Source organism: Homo sapiens, chromosome 8 (genome assembly GCF_000001405.40).
Source record: "Homo sapiens chromosome 8, GRCh38.p14 Primary Assembly".
Lineage (NCBI taxonomy): Eukaryota > Metazoa > Chordata > Mammalia > Primates > Hominidae > Homo > Homo sapiens.
Genome location: NC_000008.11, coordinates 9,186,476 through 9,205,810, shown reverse-complemented (window position 1 = coordinate 9,205,810; position 19,335 = coordinate 9,186,476). Strand labels below are relative to the sequence as shown.

Sequence of the window (19,335 nt, the reverse complement as noted above, 5' to 3'; positions counted from 1 at the left end):
GCTGAAGTGCAATGGCATGATCTGGGCTAACTGCAACCTCTGCCTCCTGGGTTCAAGTGATTATCCTGCCTCAGCCTCCCAAGTAGCTAGGATTACAGGCATGCACCACCATGTCCAGCTAATTTTGTATTTTTAGTAGAGACAGGGTTTCACTGTGCTGATCAGGCTGGTCTCAAACTCCTGACCACATGTGATCCACCCACCTAGGCCTCCCAAAGTGATGGGATTACAGGCGTTAGCCACTGCGTCCAGCCCAGCTATCTTTTAAAGTGTTTTCTTGGCCAGGTTTATCAGCGGTTTGTTTCTCTTGTTGATATTTTCTAAAACCACTCTTATGATTTTATCAAATTTTAAATTTTGTTATTTTCTAATTCTTCATTAATTAATTAATTTTATTTATTTTTTTGAGACGGAGTCCCGCTCTGTCGCCCAGGCTGGAATGCAATGGCATGATCTCAGCTCACCGCAACCTCCACCTCCCGGGTTCAAGCGATTCTCCTGCCTCAGCCTCCCAAGTAGCTGGGATTACAGGCATGCACCACCACGCCCAGCTAATTTTGAATTTTTAGTAGAGACAGGGTTTCTCCATGTTGTTCAGGTTGGTCTCAAACTCCCAACCTCAGCCTCCCAAAGTGCTGGGATTACAGGCGTGAGCCACTGCGGCAGGCCGTCTTCATTAGTTTATATTTCCAACTTTATTTTGGTCTTTTATTGTTAAAACTTCTTGAATTAAATTTTAACTAATCTTCCATTTTTCTTGTTTTATCACAAAATAACTGAAAAATATGGATTTTTCTGTCAGGATGCTTTTTGCTGTATCCTTTAGATTCCGATGTGCACTGCTTCCATTTATCATGTCTTTCAGTAGTCCGAATTTTAGATTTGTTTTCTTCATTTATTCAAAAGGCATGATAAAAAGCTTTTATTGTAATTTTTAAGAAGTTAGACCACTTTTGTCATCTTTTAATAGTTAATTTCCAGTTTAGTGTATTGCAATCAAATAACATGCCCAATAATCATTTAAATTTTTACACTGTATTGAGATTTTCTTTGTAGTTTAGTACATGGTCAGCATTTGCAAATGCTCATTGGTGATTTGAAAAACTCTATAAAGAACAAAATTGTATTTGTCTATAATTAAGTGTATATACTTACATATTCAATACATATTTGAATGTATTGTTTATTCAAATATATTATATATCAAAATATTCAAACATGCAATATTAAAATATTTTTGAATATTCAAAAGTTTTGGTCTTATTTTCAAACTACTTAATCTGTTCAATACTGAAATAAAAATATTAAAATTGACTACTAATATTAAGATCTGTTAAATTCTCATAAGTTTTCTAAGAGTTTTATTGCCTTATACACATTTTTGCTATGTTACTCAGTACATAAAGTTTATGACTATTGTAGGTTTTATATGATTCTACCTTTTATTATTTTTAATATCATTTTGTCTCATTTAGACCCTTTTGTTTTTTTATTTTGTTTTGTGTAATAATCTTGCCATCCTCCTGTGTTAATAATACTTTCTCGGCATATCTTTCCCCATCCCTTTTTTTAAACCTTACTTTGACTTTTTACTTTTAAAATGCAACCTTAGATATTCAACTAAATTGTCTTTTAAAACTACATGAGAATCTTTGAAAACAACATAAGAGTCTTGTTTTGGCAGCAATTTCAACCCACTCACATTGATGATGGCTTTTACTTATACTTACTGTTGGAAATATAGTACAAATATCTTGGGCTTATGAGGTGTCAGGCTCATATATTCTATAAACCATTTTTCTCACTCATACATATTTTATCTAGAACCAGTCCTGAAGAAGATGAGCAATTCTGCACTGAATAAACATAGGGTCTTGGTGAAATTCTTGCGGCAACCCGCTGGATGTTAACTGTCTCAACTTAGACCTATTATCGGGAGCCTATACTTAAAGGAGGCAGAGGCACAAAGTAGAGATCTGTAAGTTTCTTTCTGCATAGCAAAAATTACATCGGCAACATTTCAGTGCATCTCAGCTGCTCTGATGGTACTCAATATCGCAGTGATGTTGTCCAATAATGTGTCTTGAAGGGCCCAAACCACCAATGTTAGGGTATTAAGGTACACAGAAATACTAAGAAAGCTGCATCCATCCAATTCTGTCTTTTCTTTAACATGGGGATAGTGTTCTCAACCTCAGTCATCTCAACAAATCTCCAGAAAACCTTTGCCATTTTCATGTCTTAACTTCTTCAAAAATTGGACAGACGTCTATGCTTTGCATGTCGGGAGCTCTGTTGGTGTCTTATTCTGTTAATATCAAAGTCAAACTAGATTAAAAAACAGATAAGATGACTATATTGAAAGAAAATAGTTGGATTAAGTAACAGTCTCTTTGGGTCTGTTTTGGATATTCTAAGTAAAAGCAGAGAAAGAAAAGATGTTCTGTTTTGATTCTAATCCTAGGTCTTCCCCTATAAAGAGCCTCTAATAAGTGTGGAATCCTGGGTAGAAATAAGACAGCCTTGAAATGACTTTGTAAGAATAGGTGGGTAAAAATTTATATTACTGTAGAGAGCTACTAAGGGTGATAAGAAGGAAAAGGAAAGATTTTTAAAATCACATTTTAGAATTCATGTGTAATTCCTCACTTTTGTGTAACTAAGTCCAGGAACTTAAGAAGGTATTATGTTGAATTATTTTATTTCTATTCTAGGATTGAGTAGGTAAGTAAATATCTGAGTACTCGAATTCTCATTTTCAGAGAAATGAATTACACATAAGAAAATGGGAAGGCCAGAATGAGCCCTATGGGTTTATATTGGAATTGGAGATAGCATGTACTTATGGTTTTTAATATTTATACAGAGAAAAATAGAAACAGATGTTGTTGCTGAGTCAAACCTGGGTCTGCTTTCCTGGGGGTGAAGTAAAGCCAAACATCCACACTGAGGTTTTGCAGTGGGAGAAAAGAGGGTGTTTATTTGCAGGGCACCAAGCAAGGAGAATTGGGCAGCTCATGATTAATAAATACACGGCCTCCCTGAGGGATTACAAGCAAGGGTTTTTAAAGGCAGGGGTAAATCTCAGGAAAGCAGAAGTTACAGTCGAAAGTGTAAATCGACACTTGGAGGTTATACATTGGTTTGGCCTAAAAAAGGTGGAATATCTTGAAGCAGGAGCTCACAGGTCATAGGTGGAATCAAAAATTCTCTGATTTGTGACTGGTTAGGAAAGTGAAGCTTTGTCTGAAATCCTGGGGTAAGCCGAAAGGAATGTTAAGGTCTGGCCCGTGGCATGACTTCTTCCAGGTCCTTCAGGAAGAAATTTAGAACAAAGGAGGGTGGTCAGAATTCAGTCCTCAGTTTCCCCCATCTGAGGTCCACGTGCCAGCGGATTCATTTGGTGGGGCTCTAGGTTTCTGAAAAACAACTCAAGGACACGTGTTAAGATGTTATCTTTAGTTTCTACAGGGAACCAAACACCTTGTGGCTCTAACTTCCTTGACTATTCTTTTTAAGCTACAATTACCTCCTTACCAGGTTGCTCATTTGGTTCTCAGGGCTAGCTAGGTGTCTGTTATTTACTTTCCTTGAAAAACTCAAGATTTTGTTTCCATGTTTGCGGCTGGGGAGGGCAGCAGGCCTGTAAGAGGGTGCCCCTGCTCCGTCTCAATGTGTGTGTATTATACATGTATTTCTTCGCTCTGCCCACTAAGAGGATCTAGAAGAAATGTCTCTGCACCAGCGATGAGAACAATCAGCCCCCAATCTTAGATTCTAAAGACCATTCTCCAAAAAAAAGACACAGGGCTCCTTGAAGAAAAGGCTGAATGAAGAGCTGGAGCAAGGAAAGAACAAGACGAGCCTGGAATATGTTGATAATACTGTAAAGTAGGAAAGTGTCCAAGGAATGTGCCATGTCACACGACACACAAACCCCTATGAAGGGGCTCCCAATGGCCAAATCTGGGATAATTTGAGCCAGAAACTAAATAATGACAGCAATGCATTATATCTCATAGAATAAAATAAGAATCCATGAGCCCATATTGACATAAATAAATACTTTTTTTGGGGGGGGGGGGGGACAGAGTCTCACTCTGTCGCCCAGGCTGAAGTGCAGTGGCACAGTCTCAGCTCACTGCAAGCTCCGCCTCCTGGGTTCACACCATTCTCCTGCCTCAGCCTCCCATACAGGCGCCTGTCACCACGCCCGGCTAATTATTTTTTTTGTATTTTTAGTAGAGACAGGGTTTCACTGTGTTAGCCAGAATGGTCTTGATCTCCTGACCTCGTGATCCACCAGTCTCAGCCTCCCAAAGTGCTGGGATTACAGGCGTGAGCCACCGCAACCGGCCAATAATTTTAAAGTAAATAAATAGGGGAGAAAGGGAGACTCATCCTTTCTGTACAATTTCAGTGAAGTGAGAGAATTAGAAAATCACCACGTAGAAAGCACCACAGTCATAATTGTTTCAGGTAAGAATCCTCAAAGGATGCTAAAAGTGTTGGGTGAATGTCTGATGAGGACCAGGATATTTATTTTCAAAGTGTCTCCTCATCAGATACTGCACTATTTGCAGAGGGGGAAAAAATAACTACAGTAATCAAGTAATCAAAGTGAATCTCACCAGAATGGATCAGTGTCCTGATATATGCATCAAAAATGCACAACCTACATCTAATCAGGAAGACCCATCAGACAAATCCAAAGTGAGGCATATTCTACACAATAGCAGGCCTGTACTCTTCAACAGTGTCATGGTCATGAAAGACAAAGAAAGACCAAAGAACCACTGCAGATGAAAGGAAAGGAAGAGAACAGGACAACTAAATGCAACGTGAGATCCTTGACTGGACCGGACCAGAACAAAAACATGAATGGGACAACTGACAAAATTGGAATATCTAAAGATTAGATGATAGCGTCATATCAACGTTGATTTCCTAATGTGGATCTCTGAACTCATTTTACTCACATCATTGTGATTGTGTAAGAGGTTTAAATTTGGGAAGTCTGAATAAAAGATATACAGTAATGTTTTCGTATTTTTTAAAGCTGGAAATGATTTCAAAATGAAAAGTTAAAAAAAAAAATCCAAGCACTACTCTTTTGTGGATAGACAATATGTCCATCTGGTTTTGAACTTGGTAATTTCATTTGAATGTGATAGTCCTGTATTTTACAGCACACTTCTAACCATGTTTTTACCCACCCAGAAGCTGAGAGTTCAGACTAGGTGATTAAATTCCATGATACACTCCACGGATGCAGTCATAGTCATAGGGCAATTAAAGGCACTCAGAAGCACTGGTGGGCCGGGTGCAGTGGCTCAAGCCTGTAATCCCAGCACTTTGGGAAGCCAAGGCAGGTGGATCACTTGAGGTCAGAAGTTCAAGACCAGCCTGGTCAACATGGTGAAACCCTGTCTATACTAAATATACAAAAATTAGCTGGGTGTGGTGGCAAGCGCCTGTAATCCCAGCTACTCGGGAGGCTGAGGCAGGCGAATGGGTTGAACCTCGGAGGCGAGGTTGCAGTGAGCCGAGATTGTGCCACTGCGCTCCAGCCTGGGCAACAAGAGCGAGACTTTGTCTCAAAAAAAAAAAGTGTTGGTGTTGGTGGAGCCTGGGAAGGAAAGCTAGAAGCGTATGAAAAAGAGACAAACAAAATTCTCGTCTTTTTTCCTTGCTGTCTTTTCTTCTGCCTTGCTGGCCACAATCAGCTTTAGAATGCAAGCCAACCCAGAAAAGATCCAGTCTCTTCAAAATACAGGTTTTATTTTGATTTTGTTTTGCTTTGTGTTTTGAGATGGAGTCTCACTCTGTCACCCAGGCTGGAGTGCAGTGGCGTGATCTTGGCTCACTGCAACCTCAGCCCCCCGGGTTCAAGCGACTCTCCTGCCTCAGCCTCCTGTGTAGCCAGGGCTACAGGTACCCACCACCATGCCTGGATAATTTTTGTATTTTTAGTAAAGACGGGGTTTTGCCATGTTGCCCAGGCTGGCCTCGAACTCCTGATCTCAGGTGATCCACCCACCTCAGCCTCCCAAAGTGCTGGGATTACAAGTGTGAGCCACTGCGCTCAGCCCAAAATACAGGTTGATCAAAGACACACCTGTGGTCTTAGATTCAGCCCACTAGTAGTAACTTCTGAGAGTGGCAGGGGGTGGGGCAGAGGATGTGGCTCCCAGACAGTCACCCCCAGTTGGAAAAATTTTGGTGACCTAAAGTCTATAGTCTGACAGGCAGATTCAGAGGTGTTTGAGAGGAGACTAAAAATCTGGCTGTTGGTAAAGGATAAAACTGATTCAGGTTCCTGGGCAGCTGCTCATCCTCACGTGGCCTTCAAAGCCAAGATGAGCGCATGTGAAACAAAGGAGCCCAGGAGCCAAGAGCGGATGGGCACCCTCCCCAGGCGTCTTGCTACACTGTTGGCATTTTCCTGCAAGCCTGCGTTTCTGCTAGGAGTTAGAGGCTTCAGAAGTTTATTCTTCATAGTCCCTTTCCTTGGAACAGAAGACCTGGTCACGCCACTCAATCTAAATGAAAATACCTTTAAATTAAACCTGATATTTGATTTTTTTTTCTTCCCATGGGTTGTGTTGGCTGTGGGCTCAATTTGCATTGAATCTGATAGACCTATTCTAATATCCTTGCCTACCTGGAAAAAATTCAGCATACACTCATTCCTTTCCGAATCATTGAGAGACTAGGGGTATGACAAAATATAGCAGTTCCTCTACAGGTCATCTTAAGAATATTCATGTTTTTTAAATGTGAAATAAGCAGTGACGGGTGACACTGTGCATTTCTTACATTTTTAATACACCTCAGAGCTGCAAAGTGGAGCTGGTGGAAGTCATCCCTGCTGTATTCGTTTTCTCCTACAGAGAGAGAAAATCATTAGATTTTTGCTGGGGCAGGACATCCCATCTTTCTGTTTAGACCTTTAGACGCTGTGCATGTGCCTGGACTCCCAACTAGGCGAGGTGACGCGCCCTCGCGGATCCAGCCTCCCAGGCTCAGCCTCTGTGCTTCCCCCCAGGTGAAATATGCAAAGATGCATGAGAAGTACTCATGGAAATGCCATTTGCACCAACTTCTAAATTTTCTTGTAGGTAAGGAAGCAAAATGGAAATGGGTGGATTTAAACATCAACTTGGAACCCCTTCTCTTACCAACGCTAAACTTCTCCAGTAGAAAAGCTGTTTGGTCATATGCATATATGACTGGTTCCCACCTCCCACAGCCAGAGACTGCCTGCTGCCTGATCAAAAAAAGTGTCTAAAATGGAACCTTTTTGTCGTTGTTGTTAAATCTAAGACACCGAGATAGGGCACTCTTTCCCAGAAGGTCTTGCACAAATGGAGGGTCTTTAATGAATACTGATAAGTCTGAACATGAAATGAAAGATTAACAGCTATGTAAGCCAGTGACAGATGTTGCAAACCAGTACAGCACAGCCTCGTATGCCGTCAGCATCACTCCCGACAGCACTAAAGTAGAACAGCTCATTAATATAGAGAACATCTCCTGTCTTTCTTCTGCTTGAAAAGAGCCACTCAGTTTCCTCAACACCAGACTGGTTGTTTTAAACACTAGTTAGAATTTATTGTTTTGGCCTGGCCTTTTGGTGGGGAGCTTTATTGTTGAATTTAATTCGTACAAATCTCGTTATGTTTAAATTATTTTGCAGCAAAAACAAAAATGAAAGACAGTGCTAACGTGTACAAGCAATTTTCACTTATATTCTAAGACACAGAAAAATATCAGAAATGCATATAAATAGCATTTTTAAAGGTTTGACTCATCTAAACCAGGCAACAGTCATAAAAATAAAGCAAATTAGAGATAAGAAGACACAGAAGGGAAACTGTTCAGTGTCCACCAATCAGTAGAAAAGCCCTAATCAGAAATAGGAGTTCTGGAAAGCCAGGCCAGAACAAAGAACAGAAGGGCTGGGGGCAGTAGAACAAGATATTCTTTTGCCACGGTGAGATCAGGAAGTTCTCAGATAGACCACAGCTTAGATGTTGGTCCATTTTATTTTTCATCTCCTCTGGCAATACATATTATTTCAGAGAATGAACATTTTAAATTTGAATGGAGCTATGTCAAATGCAAACTCCTTTTTAATTGTCTCAAACCATAATTTATAGATATCTCAAAAGTTTAAATAAAAATAAGGATTGTGTGATTTTTCAAAAAAATGATGACCTACTTTGAAGAATCCCAAAATGCAAGGAATACACTAACTAAACCAGGTTAGTAAGGAAGCCTGTGTATTTTCAATGACAAAAGCAGCTCTCAGACATTTGTGTGGTGGTTTTCTGGTAATTAGGTATTTGAAGTTGAGTTAGGAAAGGATTGATCTAGACGCACAAGGAGAAAGAAAGCAGAGAACAGGAAAAATAAAGGGTTAGGCATATTATTATTTCAGCAATTCCTAGCTTGACCATTAATGTAATATGACATTTTTATTTTATTTATTTATTTATTTTGAGATGTTGTTTTGCTCTTATGTGGGCTGGAGGGCAATGGTGCAATCAGCTCACTGCAACCTCTGCCTCCTCGGTTCAAACAATTCTCGGGCCTCAGCCTCCTGAGTAGCTGGAACTACAGGGGCGCGCCACCATGCCCAGCTAATTTTTGTACTTTTAGTAGAGATGGGGTTTCACCATGTTGGGCAGGCTGGTCTCGAACTCCTGACCTCAGGTGATATACCCGTGTCAGCCTCCGAATATCATGTTATTCTTTTGCTTCATGGCATTCACCACAAACTATCATTATTCAGTTCATTTATCAGTCAGTTTATTCCCTTTCAGATGCAAGTTCTGTGTGATCAGAGAGCCAGCCTGCCACCTTCAAAGTTCTAAAGATAAAATTTGGCCCAGGGCCTAACACTCGGTAGACAGGCAAAGATAATTTTTTTAAATAAATAACAAGTACATGAATGAATGAATGAAATTCATAATCAATAATTCAATACAGAATCAGTAAGGAAAAAATTAATACATACATTAATGGAAAATGAAATTAGATTTTTTAAAATTTCATGCTCTTCCATTACAGGCAGTCCCATTATATAAAGGCTGGGGCCCGGCGCAGTAACTCAAGCCTGTAATCCCGGCACTTTGGGAGGCCAAGGCAGGTGGATCACTTGAGCTCAGGAGTTCAAGACCAGCCTAGACAACATGGGGAAACCCTGTCTCTACCAAAAATACAAAAAATTAGCCAGGTGTGGTGGTGTGCACCTGTGGTCCTAGCTACTTGGGAGGCAGAGGAGGGAGGATAACTTGATCATGGAAGGTGAAGGTTGCAGTGAGCTGAGATTGCACCACTGCACTCCAACCTGGGTGACAGAGTGAGACCCCATCTCAATAATAATAATAAAATAAAGCCTAAGTGGTCTCTAACATTCTATAACTGAGAACTGACTCCTTCCTGAGTCTCCCAGGGATCCATGGGACCTATAACATAGGCACACCCATCATCAATGCACGTGTTTAGGTGGCTTTGACTACTTTGGAGTCATCCTGCAGGCTTTTATCTGCTGCCATTTTTCTAAAGCTTCCATCTGATTTACAAAGGCTCTTAAACTAGAATTTGGGAAGGAGTCACTTAGAGAAAACATTTGCTTTACTTTCTTCTTCTCAATTTGCTGAGGAAGCATTTCTTAAAACTCTATGGGGAGAAAAATTTGCTCCTCAAAAGCCAGCTGGAACTGAAGAAAACGTTGTCTAAGAAAGTATTGATTGTCAGCAGAAGAGAGAGTTATGTGAGGGCAAGTTTAGTTTTTTATGATACAATTGATTTATTATTTTATTTTTATTTAGAGACAGGGTCTCACTCTGTCACCTAGGCTGGAGTGCAGTAGTATGATCATAGCTCACTATAACCTCAAACTCCTGAGCTCAAGCAATCTTCCCACCTCAGCCTCCCAAGTAGCTGGGACTTCAGGCATGCACCACCATGCCTAGCTAATTTTTGGTTTTAGAGATGGGGTCTCACTACGTTGCCCAGGCCAGTCTCAAACTCTTGGCCTGAAGGGATCCTCCTACCTTGGCCTCCCAAAGTGCTGGGATTATAGGTGTGAGCCACCATGCCAAGATGCCAAGCCTAATATATATATATTTATTTTTATTTTTTTTTTTTAACAAAATCTCACTTCTTCGCCTAGGCTGGAGGGCAAAGGCACGATCTCAGCCCACTGCAACCTCTGCCTCTTGGGTTCAAGCACTTCTCCTGCCTCAGCCTCCCCAGTAGCTGTGATTACAGTCATGTACCACCATGCCTGGCTAAGTTTTGTGTCTTTGGTAGAGATGAGGTTTCACTCTGTTGGCCCGGCTGGTCTCGAACTCCTGACCTCAAGTGATCCACCCACCTCAGCTTCCCAAAGTGCTGGGATTACAGGCGTGAGCCACCGCGCCCAGCCCTTATGATATAATTTTAACCTCATTTTAGAAGTCGGGACTTAATGAGGACTGAAATCAGGACTTTGGGGCAGCTTGTATAATTACAGCTCCTATAATCCTTGTCAACATGATGGAACTACAAGACCCTCCTGATCTTTGAGTCTGTCACTATGAGCCACTTCCTGAAAGGAAGCTCCAGCTTCTACCTCCACTGGGAAGGCTCAAGTCATCTTTGGCCCCGAGGAGAAGCTAGGGATGCCAGTGTTCAGGCCCCCACAGCAGAGGCGGGCCTGTGTCAATATTGCAGGGAGAACCTGCTCTCTATCGCCAGACCTCCACAGTAAGGACAGGCACTCTCGGTGCTGATGAATTTGGAAATAGGAAAATTGGCACAATCTTAGAATGGGATCTTCATTTAATAAATGAGGACTTGGAACCCAGAGAGGTAAAGTGAATTCTACAAGATAAAATCATGGTAGAAAAATCGTGGCACAGCATATAGATTCTAAGCAGAGAGAAACTAAAGGTCATGTTTTAGGGTGCAACAAAGACATGTTAAGTCCTTCTGTCCAGTGCAATCTATGTTTCAGGAAACCCCCAGCCTGAAAGTTGTTCTCTGCAGGAGGGGTTATGGAGAAAAGACCACAGATTGCCCCTTTTGCTACTGCAGTACCCACAGACAGGAGACAAAAGGAGACGCCCGTGTAAAAGGAAATGCGGCTGGCATATTGCAGCAAGAACAGAAAGAAGTTCTAGCCATTGTACACATCTGAAAAGAACCCAGTGAGGGAGAGCAGCCCCTGGAATAACTGAAATAGAAATTAATGAAACCAGGACATTAAAATCTAAGCTTGATGTGACTGTGCTCAGATCTAGAGACGTTTCTGCACTTAGTAGAAAAACTCCAATATGTCGATAAAAGCATCCAGACTCTACCCTGCAGGGAACAGAGGAGAGGCGCGGCAGTGAGACACAGCCATGGCAACAGAGAGGAAGGTCCTGACCGGACATCTCAGAGATATCGCCTTCAGCCATTGCCAGCTAAGGCTTCATCAGGGATTCCCAACACCTGGAGCTATCACCTGCACAACAGTGAACCCCAGCGAACTGTGGGGGGGGCACCAGTTATAGAAACCGTATTGGCTGAGGGGTTTAGCAAACTGTACAAACTGTACAGTAACACATCCCACACCAAGGCTTCTGTCTCTGCAAATGAATCCCTTTAGAGAGTCCCACATTCCTGAAGAGTTGTTGGAGGTAGGCGTTAAATTTGCCAAGCTACCAATATAAATTTTATCAGCTCACAAGACTGGGGCCGCATAGAGGTCCCCATGGAGTCACACACTATGCAGAGACCTACCTGGAGACAGGCTGTTCCAGCCTGGGTGTGCAGCACATGACACACACTGCTCCACGGCTCTAAGAGTCAGGGAAACTGGGAAGGCAGATGTTTATATCCAGAAAAAGCATGAATTGTGGAGTTAGGCAGAACTGGGTCAGAATCCTGGGCCCTACCACTGATTGACCCTGGCTAAGTAAATTAAGTTGGTGTCTTAGTCACTTAGGCTGCCATAACAAAACACCAGGTATTAATACTAGCTTGAACAACAGGAATTTATTTCTCACAGTTCTGGAGGCTAGAAGTCCAAGATCAAGGTACCAGCAGGGTGTCTAGTGAGGACTCTCTCCTTGGGTTTGCAGATGGCTGCCTTCTTGGTGTGTGCTCACTTGGCCTTTTCTCAGTGTGTAAAGGTGGAAAGAGAAAGAAGAAGCTAGCTCTCTGGTGTCTCTTCTTTGGGCACTCATCTGATCATATCCATCCAGCCCTCATGCCTCATCTAAACTTCATTACTTCCCAAAAGCCCCATCTGCAAATACCATCACATTGGAGGGAGGATAGGGTTTCAACATATTAATGAGGGGAAGACACAATTCAGTCCATAGCAGTTGGCCTGTGAGTCAAGTGACTTTCTCCTTCCCAATCTGTGAAATAAAGACAGCACTGTTAAAAGAATTAAATAACCTACTCTACTGAAAAAGGCAGAAAGCTGTTAGCATAGTGCCTGGTTACATGGTAGGTACTCATATTCATTTTCTGACAGCTATCTAGACCATAAACCTGTGGACACTTCCCCCGATTTTTAAAATATTGCGATAAAATCTGCATAACATAAAATGTACCACGTTAGGCATTTTTAAGTGTACAATTTGGCAGTGTTAAATGTATTCACGATGTTGTACAACCAATCTCTAGAATTCTTCTCATCTTGCAAAATTGAAATTCTTACCCATGAACAACTTACCCATGAAAGAACTCCTCATTTCTCCCTTCCCTAAAATTTTTAATTAAAAGGAACAAATTAAAAAAATCAAGAACTTTAATTGCTACTCTAACTAGCTGCTAAGAATCTTCTTTATTTATTTATTTTTTTGAGACGGAGTCTCTCTCTGTCGCCCAGGCTGGAGGGCAGTGGCGAGATCTCGGCTTACTGCAAGCTCCACCTCCCAGGTTCACGCCTTCTCCTGCCTCAGCCTCCGGAGCACCTCGGACTACAGGCGCCTGCCACCACACCCGGCTAATTTTTTTGTATTTTTAGTAGAGACGGGGTTTCACTGTGTTAGCCAGGATGGTCTCGATCTCCTGACCTCATGATCCACCCGCCTCGGCCTCCGAAAGTGCTGGGATATAGGTGTGAGCCACCAAGCCCGGCAGAATCAGATTTTTCTAACAAACTAAATTCCAGATTTTTTAAAAAAGTAGATATCGTCCCGTCTCCACTAAAAAATACAGAAAAATTAGCCGGGCGTGGTGGCGGGAGCCTCTGGTCCCAGCTACTTTGGAGGCTGAGGCAGGAGAATGGCGTGAACCCAGGAGGTGGAGCTTGCAGTGAGCCGAGACTGCGCCACTGCACTCCAGCCTGGGCGACAGAGTGAGACTCCGTCTCAAAAAAATAAATAAATAAATAATATTTTTAAAAAGTAGATATTGTAGTTGCTTCACAATGAGAAATTCAAACTAAATTCCAGATTTTTTTTTTAAAGTAGATATCTTAACCGTTCCACAATGAGAAGTTCATGCAGGAACAAGCAATGAATTAAAACTGTCAATACAGAATGATTGATTTGGTAAAACTCTATCTTTAAAAGATTATGAGGGTTCAAAATTACCATATTATATTCAAACTCTGTCAAATGGAAGCCTACAGAGTCATTACAAAGGTTGTTTGCACGTCCAGCAAATACTTAGCAGGTCTATGTGAATGAGGCAGGAAAGAGAACAGGAAAGTTGTAAGGCAGGGTTTTCCAGACTTTCCTGATAATGATCACCCGAGATACTTGTTAAAACTACAAATTCCTGGGCCCCATCCCAGACCCACTGAATCAAAATCTCCAGATTGGATTTCAGATGTAATGTTCTAAAACAACAGTCTTCTAGAGGGTAAGAAATCTGTATCCAAGAAAAAGAGCTGCCCAATAATGCTGATGACGATATAAAGCAAGTACTTGAGGATGGTAGCTCCAATCTGTCAGGTTCTGAAAGGTGAACTTAAAGGTTTGTTCCAAGCACAGAGGCACATTTAGCCACAAATGAGGCACACTGCTAGGGGACACTGCTAGGGACACTTGGAACAAAATCAGGGATAGGGCACTATGGGATGTGGTAGACAGGAACTAAGAGCACAAGTCATGAACTAAGGGCACAAGAAATGAACTAAGAACACAGGGGGAGGTGGAAAGGCTTACACACGGCCATGTGTTCCTTTCAAAACATGATATGACTTGGAATCAGTTTATAATATCTTTGTATTTGTTTTTTGACAGTGATAATATCAGCAATTTAAGAAGTCAAGATGGAAACTGAAAACAAAAGCTAAGTAGCATGTCTTAGAGACCTGCCTGTGTTACCTGGGGCCTCTGGTGCAGGGAGCAGCCCCTATCGCAAGCAACTAGGCGGATAAAAAAAAGGAAGATCTCCAGGGTCCAGGGGATGCAGTGGGGACAGAGCATGGAGATGGAGAGAGAAACCAGGTCACAAGAGGAAGTTAGCTTTGGGTCTGAGTTGGGAGACCCAGATGTTTTGTGCCAGATGAAGCCTCCAGCCTTGTGTCCCCTGCCTGGCTCCCACTAATACCAGTCTAAGAGAACAGGCACTCATAGTCTTCTAACCTAATTATTCTATGCACAGTTACAAGTGAGGGTTTTAGTGCCAACATCGGCACCAATAATTCCTTACTCAGTATTATTTATTCTCTTTATTTTAATACCGCTGGCATCCATCAGAAAGAATACAAAAGAAACACTTCCTGGCAAAGTCCAATCAATGCTCTTAATTTGCTACAAGGTGAGTTTTTTTTATTTCTGCACATATCTTCCGCTTCTAATAGTCCAAGCATTGACTCACACACAATTCCTGTTGCTAGATTTCCCATGGCTTTCCTTTCTCATTGAAGGATTAATAGATTATGCTTAACCACAGTCGTTAAGAAGGCAGAGGTGTAGGTGGAAGAGGAAGTGCAGACTGTATTAAAACTATGTTAAAAAAAACTCCTTTGTCTCTATAAATCCTAGACTGAACCACGGGGCTCCAGACAAATCAGTCTGTCTCAATTCCCACCTCCTTCAGATCTGCAGTACTGAAGCAGAGTGCATCATTCTGAATTAACGCTATTCAAGTCAATGATGAAAAACACAAACAATTGTAAATCCCTTTTGAGATTGCAACATTCTACAAGAGCTGCTGCTGCTGCTGCTGCTGCTGCCGCTGCTGAATTGTGGTTCAACAGTAAAGTGAGAACTACTCAAGGTCAGAATATGAGTAAGGCAGGGAGGGAAGGCTGGAAAAGATAATTACATTTTTGAGGGTCCTTATGTTTTTAACACCATTAGATTCTCAAAAGGCCCAAACTTAAAGCACGTCTGTGGTTCCTTAAAATATATATGCTCTATTAAAGACTGTGGCAAGTTTTCAGCAAATACGTAGGAAGTGATCTATACCAAATAAAAGCAGATTTTTAGAGTATTACATTTCTCTGATAGGATGATCTTAGAAATTACCTCTCTAGAACTAAGGAATTCAAAGAACACATTTAAAGGCTAAGTTAGCCTTTCACACCTCCTAAGAGTAAGATTACACTTGAGGAAAGGATGGAGGATGGGAGGGAGGAAAGAGGAAGGAAAGGATGGAGGATCAGAGTACAATATTATCCTTAGTGCAAAGAAGAAATGTGATGACCAAGCTAACTTTTTAACAGCAGGCAGCATGTTATTGATCCAAGGCTTGCCAGCCATCCAAATTATTCTTTGGTCATTGTGTCTGAATAATAGAGATAGAAAACCATATTATCCATAGGAATGGAATATTTTATCTCAATCCCACATAGGAAATGTCTAGGTATAACACTACGGGAGAAGTACTGGGGAGAAATGAATCCAAATTTTGTGGTAATCAGGACAGAAGCTGAGCCTGTGCAAGCAATTGCTCACAAATCAATCCCATGGCAGTTATGGAGGCCTTCAGCTCCCCAGAGAGGGCCACAGTGATTGGGGAAGGTGTCCCCCGGGGGTGGTGGCGAGCACTCTGTGACGCAAGGGATCCCTGGGGTGTGGAAGATGTAGTAATAATGAAAATGCAGCAATTAACATTTACTAAGGACTTCCTATATTCCAGGCACTATGCTCAGGGCTTTACGTACATCATCTCATTAAACCCACACAATGAATGGGTTAATGCAATACACACATTATCTCATTTTACAGATTAAGAAACTATTAGCGGTGGAAGAGATCCAAGTTACCTGCGGCGTACCTGTACTGGTCAGAAGCAACTTCAGTCCTTGCCTCCTCAGAAGAAAGAATTCGACTGAGGGCCATAAAGCAGAATCCAGGACAGGAGTGGAAGTTTATTTAAAAAGCCTTTGGAACACGAAAGAGCGGGGCGCGGTGGCTCAAGCCTGTAATCCCAGCACTTTGGGAGGCCAAGGCGGGAGGATGACGAGGTCAGGAAATCGAGACCATCCTGGCTAACACGGTGGAACCCCGTCTCTACTAAAAAAAAAAATACAAAAAAATTAGCCGGGCGTGGTGGCGGGCGCCTGTAGCCCCAGCTACTCAGGAGGCTGAAGCAGGAGAATGGCGTGAACCCGGGAGGCGGAGCTTGCAGTGAGCCGACATCACGCCACTGCACTCCAGCCTGGGCGACAGAGCAAGACTCCGTCTCAAAAAAAAAAAAGAACAGGAAAGAAAGGAAAATTCGCTTGGAAGATACCCAAGCCGTCGCCTGAAGGTCCAAGAGAGAAGAGAGCAAAAAAGGGCCTTTAACCTTGATCCTAAAACTTTACAGGCTCACCTCTTTCCCATGATTCTTCCCTCAGCGTGGGTTTCCCGCATGCGCAATGCTTTCCTTAGCCTTTGGAATTGAGCACGCGCAGTGCGTTTAGGGAGTTACACGCATGCCCACCTGAGACTTTTTCCTTTTTCCTGTGGCGTGTACCCCGGAAAGTCATACTTTGCCATTTTATCTCTTAACACACATGCCCAAGAATCTGCTTCTCCCTGGGATCTGTATTCAGTTAACACTTTTAATGTCAAGGTTATGGACCATCAGGAGATTGTCTCTCCCTGGCTGCTGAATTATGATTTTTAGAGAGGCAATGCGATAACTGTGGAACTGTCATCCGACATTTCTAGTGCGTCGGGGGAGAGCCCACTCTTGCCTATCTACCTGTAACAAAACTAGGTTTTGGAGACAAAGAAACTTGTTCAAGATCACACAGCTAGCTATGAGCACAACTGTTCACGGCAGAACTTGCTGGACCTTCTTAATAGTAGAGCGTCAAAGCTCTGAAATTCCGCCATTTGAACTCTATGTTCCAGTCCAACAAGACTGTTGCATCCCCCCCACCCCCACTTCCGCCACCACACCATTCAGAAGAGTCTCCCCCCATCTCACCATGGCTGCTCAGCCTTTATTCACCGTTCAATTTCAGCTCAAAGCCTTCCCCCTCTGTAAATATCCTCCTTGGTATTCCCATTGTTTCTTTCTCTTCCCTGTAACAGAACTTAGCTCCCAGCACTGGGAGTGCCTGATTATTTGTAATGTCCCTCCAGAAGACTCTACCCTCTTCGGAAGGCACAGATCTTACCTATGCTGCTCCCCTTTGCACCCATGGTACGTGGCACCGGGTCTGATGCAGAGCAAATGCTCAAAACTATTTCTGGAATGAATGAGTCATCTAACTCCTCCATTTACTGTTGAGGAAGTGAACATTCAGAAAGGCTGTGTTGATTGCCCAATGCCACACAGGAAGCAGGAGCACAGGTATAATAAGTCAAAAGCCAGGTCTCGGACTGGGAGTGGTGGTTCACACTTACAGTCTCAGCACTTTGGGAAGCTAAGGGAGGAGGCTTGCTTGAGCCCAGGAGTTTGAGACCACCCTGGGTAACATAGTGAGACCTCGTGTCTACAAAAAAATTAAAATAGCTGGATGTGGTGGCGTGCACATGTGGCCCCAGACACTCCAGAGGCTGAATCAGGAGGATCCCTTAAGCTCAGGAGAGTGAGGCTACAGTGAGCCGTGATCACGCCATTGCACTTCAGCCAGATCTCCTACTTCCTAGAGAGAGCTCTTTCTACTTTGCCAACGTCACTCTCAGCTAGAATGTTCCAGTTCTGTTCTCTACCATCTCCATCCTCTCATCCTTACAGCCCCAGCTCCTGTTTCCTCCTCACTCACACTGACTTCAGCAGACCCACTGAAGGTCAAAAGCATTCGTTACGCAATTTACCACCTAACACCTTGTGTTCAAAATTCCACTGTTGTTTCCAATCGCCTTTTACATCTTGCCCAACCATGTTTAATGCTCTCCAGTATCCTCAGCAGCACCCACACTTTGCTTGGTAGCCTGTAGCAGGGGCTCAGGTCAATGTTAATTTGATTTTGCAGTGCCACACAGAGCACAGGTGACCCTTGCTTTTTCATAGGGTATTAACAGTGAAACAATAAACGATAGTCCACACCCCAAGATAGCCAGAGAAGACCAAAGAGATTCTCATTCCCCATTCATGTCACAATTCTAACAATGCCAAAACTTAATACCCAGCAATCTTATTCCTAGTGGGCCAATGTTTCCTGATGCCTGTCTCCTCCCCCACTGTATATATTGATTCAATGAAAGGCCCCAGCTACCTCCATTATTCATGCTCCTCACTTTCCCTGCCTGTTAGCTATTCTCCAAATCGAGCTATTCAAACCAATTCATCAGATTACCTCCGGAAACATTACAGGCTGGTCAAGGGATGAGAGCAAATAACAAACACTAAGATTGCAAAGCCATTCTTGAACAGTGTGCTAAAGGCAGAAAATTGAACATAGAGGAGAGACAGCAAGAGCTTCAAGGAAGCCATTGAAATGTCCTCAGATGCCAACAGACAGGAAAATGTGGCAGAGAGGAAAGTCACTGGGGCGTACAACCCACCAAACCATCACTCTGATTTGAAGTCAAGAAAAATAAGGGGAAAGTACAGTCTACTAGATTTACATGGTTCCCCAAAGGAGAGCATATTAAAATATATTATTAAACCATTTTTAAAATCTGGTTTCAGGAGAAAAACCTTGGCCCAGTGTTATTCCTCATTTACACAGTAAATACATTCATTCATCATTCATCCTCCCCATCTCTTCGAATTCTATGAAGTGCTGCCTACTTCATCTCAAAATATCTATGCTTGCAGAAGAATGTGCAGTTTAAGCACAAAAGCTGTAAAATGCCACAAGAGTAATATCAAAAATCAGCTTAAGAACTTAACGCAATAAGACAAAAGACCAATAAATCTCAAGTATGAGTGTGTGCATATTTTAATAAAAGAATTCCTGAGTACAGCATTACAGTTGGGCTTGCCACATAGAAGATATTTTCC

At 42.3% G+C, this 19,335-nt stretch overlaps 1 long non-coding RNA gene across 1 annotated transcript, besides 3 other annotated features; it reads right to left on the bottom strand.

The window, feature by feature from the left end:
• Positions 1-2,952: 2,952 nt before the first annotated feature.
• Positions 2,953-16,812, bottom strand: LOC101929128 (uncharacterized). Its single transcript, NR_125431.1, has 4 exons — positions 16,765-16,812; positions 16,225-16,463; positions 6,820-6,887; positions 2,953-3,312 (listed from the first exon to the last, which is right to left on the bottom strand). It is a non-coding gene; the product is annotated as an uncharacterized LOC101929128 (long non-coding RNA).
• Positions 16,043-17,242: an enhancer, noted in NCBI's record as "P300/CBP strongly-dependent group 1 enhancer chr8:9046079-9047278 (GRCh37/hg19 assembly coordinates)". NCBI's record gives its function as "activates an origin of replication core promoter dependent on BRD2, BRD4, P300/CBP, MED14 and CDK7 cofactors, with strong dependence on P300/CBP, by STARR-seq in HCT116 cells {active_cell/tissue: HCT116}" and the evidence as "EXISTENCE:reporter gene assay evidence [ECO:0000049][PMID:35650434]".
• Positions 16,043-17,874: a biological region, named in NCBI's record as "P300/CBP strongly-dependent group 1 enhancer GRCh37_chr8:9046079-9047278".
• Positions 16,889-17,874: an enhancer, noted in NCBI's record as "H3K27ac hESC enhancer chr8:9045447-9046432 (GRCh37/hg19 assembly coordinates)". NCBI's record gives its function as "activates a minimal SCP1, AML or CMV promoter by ChIP-STARR-seq in naive H9 embryonic stem cells {active_cell/tissue: H9 hESC(naive)}" and the evidence as "EXISTENCE:reporter gene assay evidence [ECO:0000049][PMID:30033119]".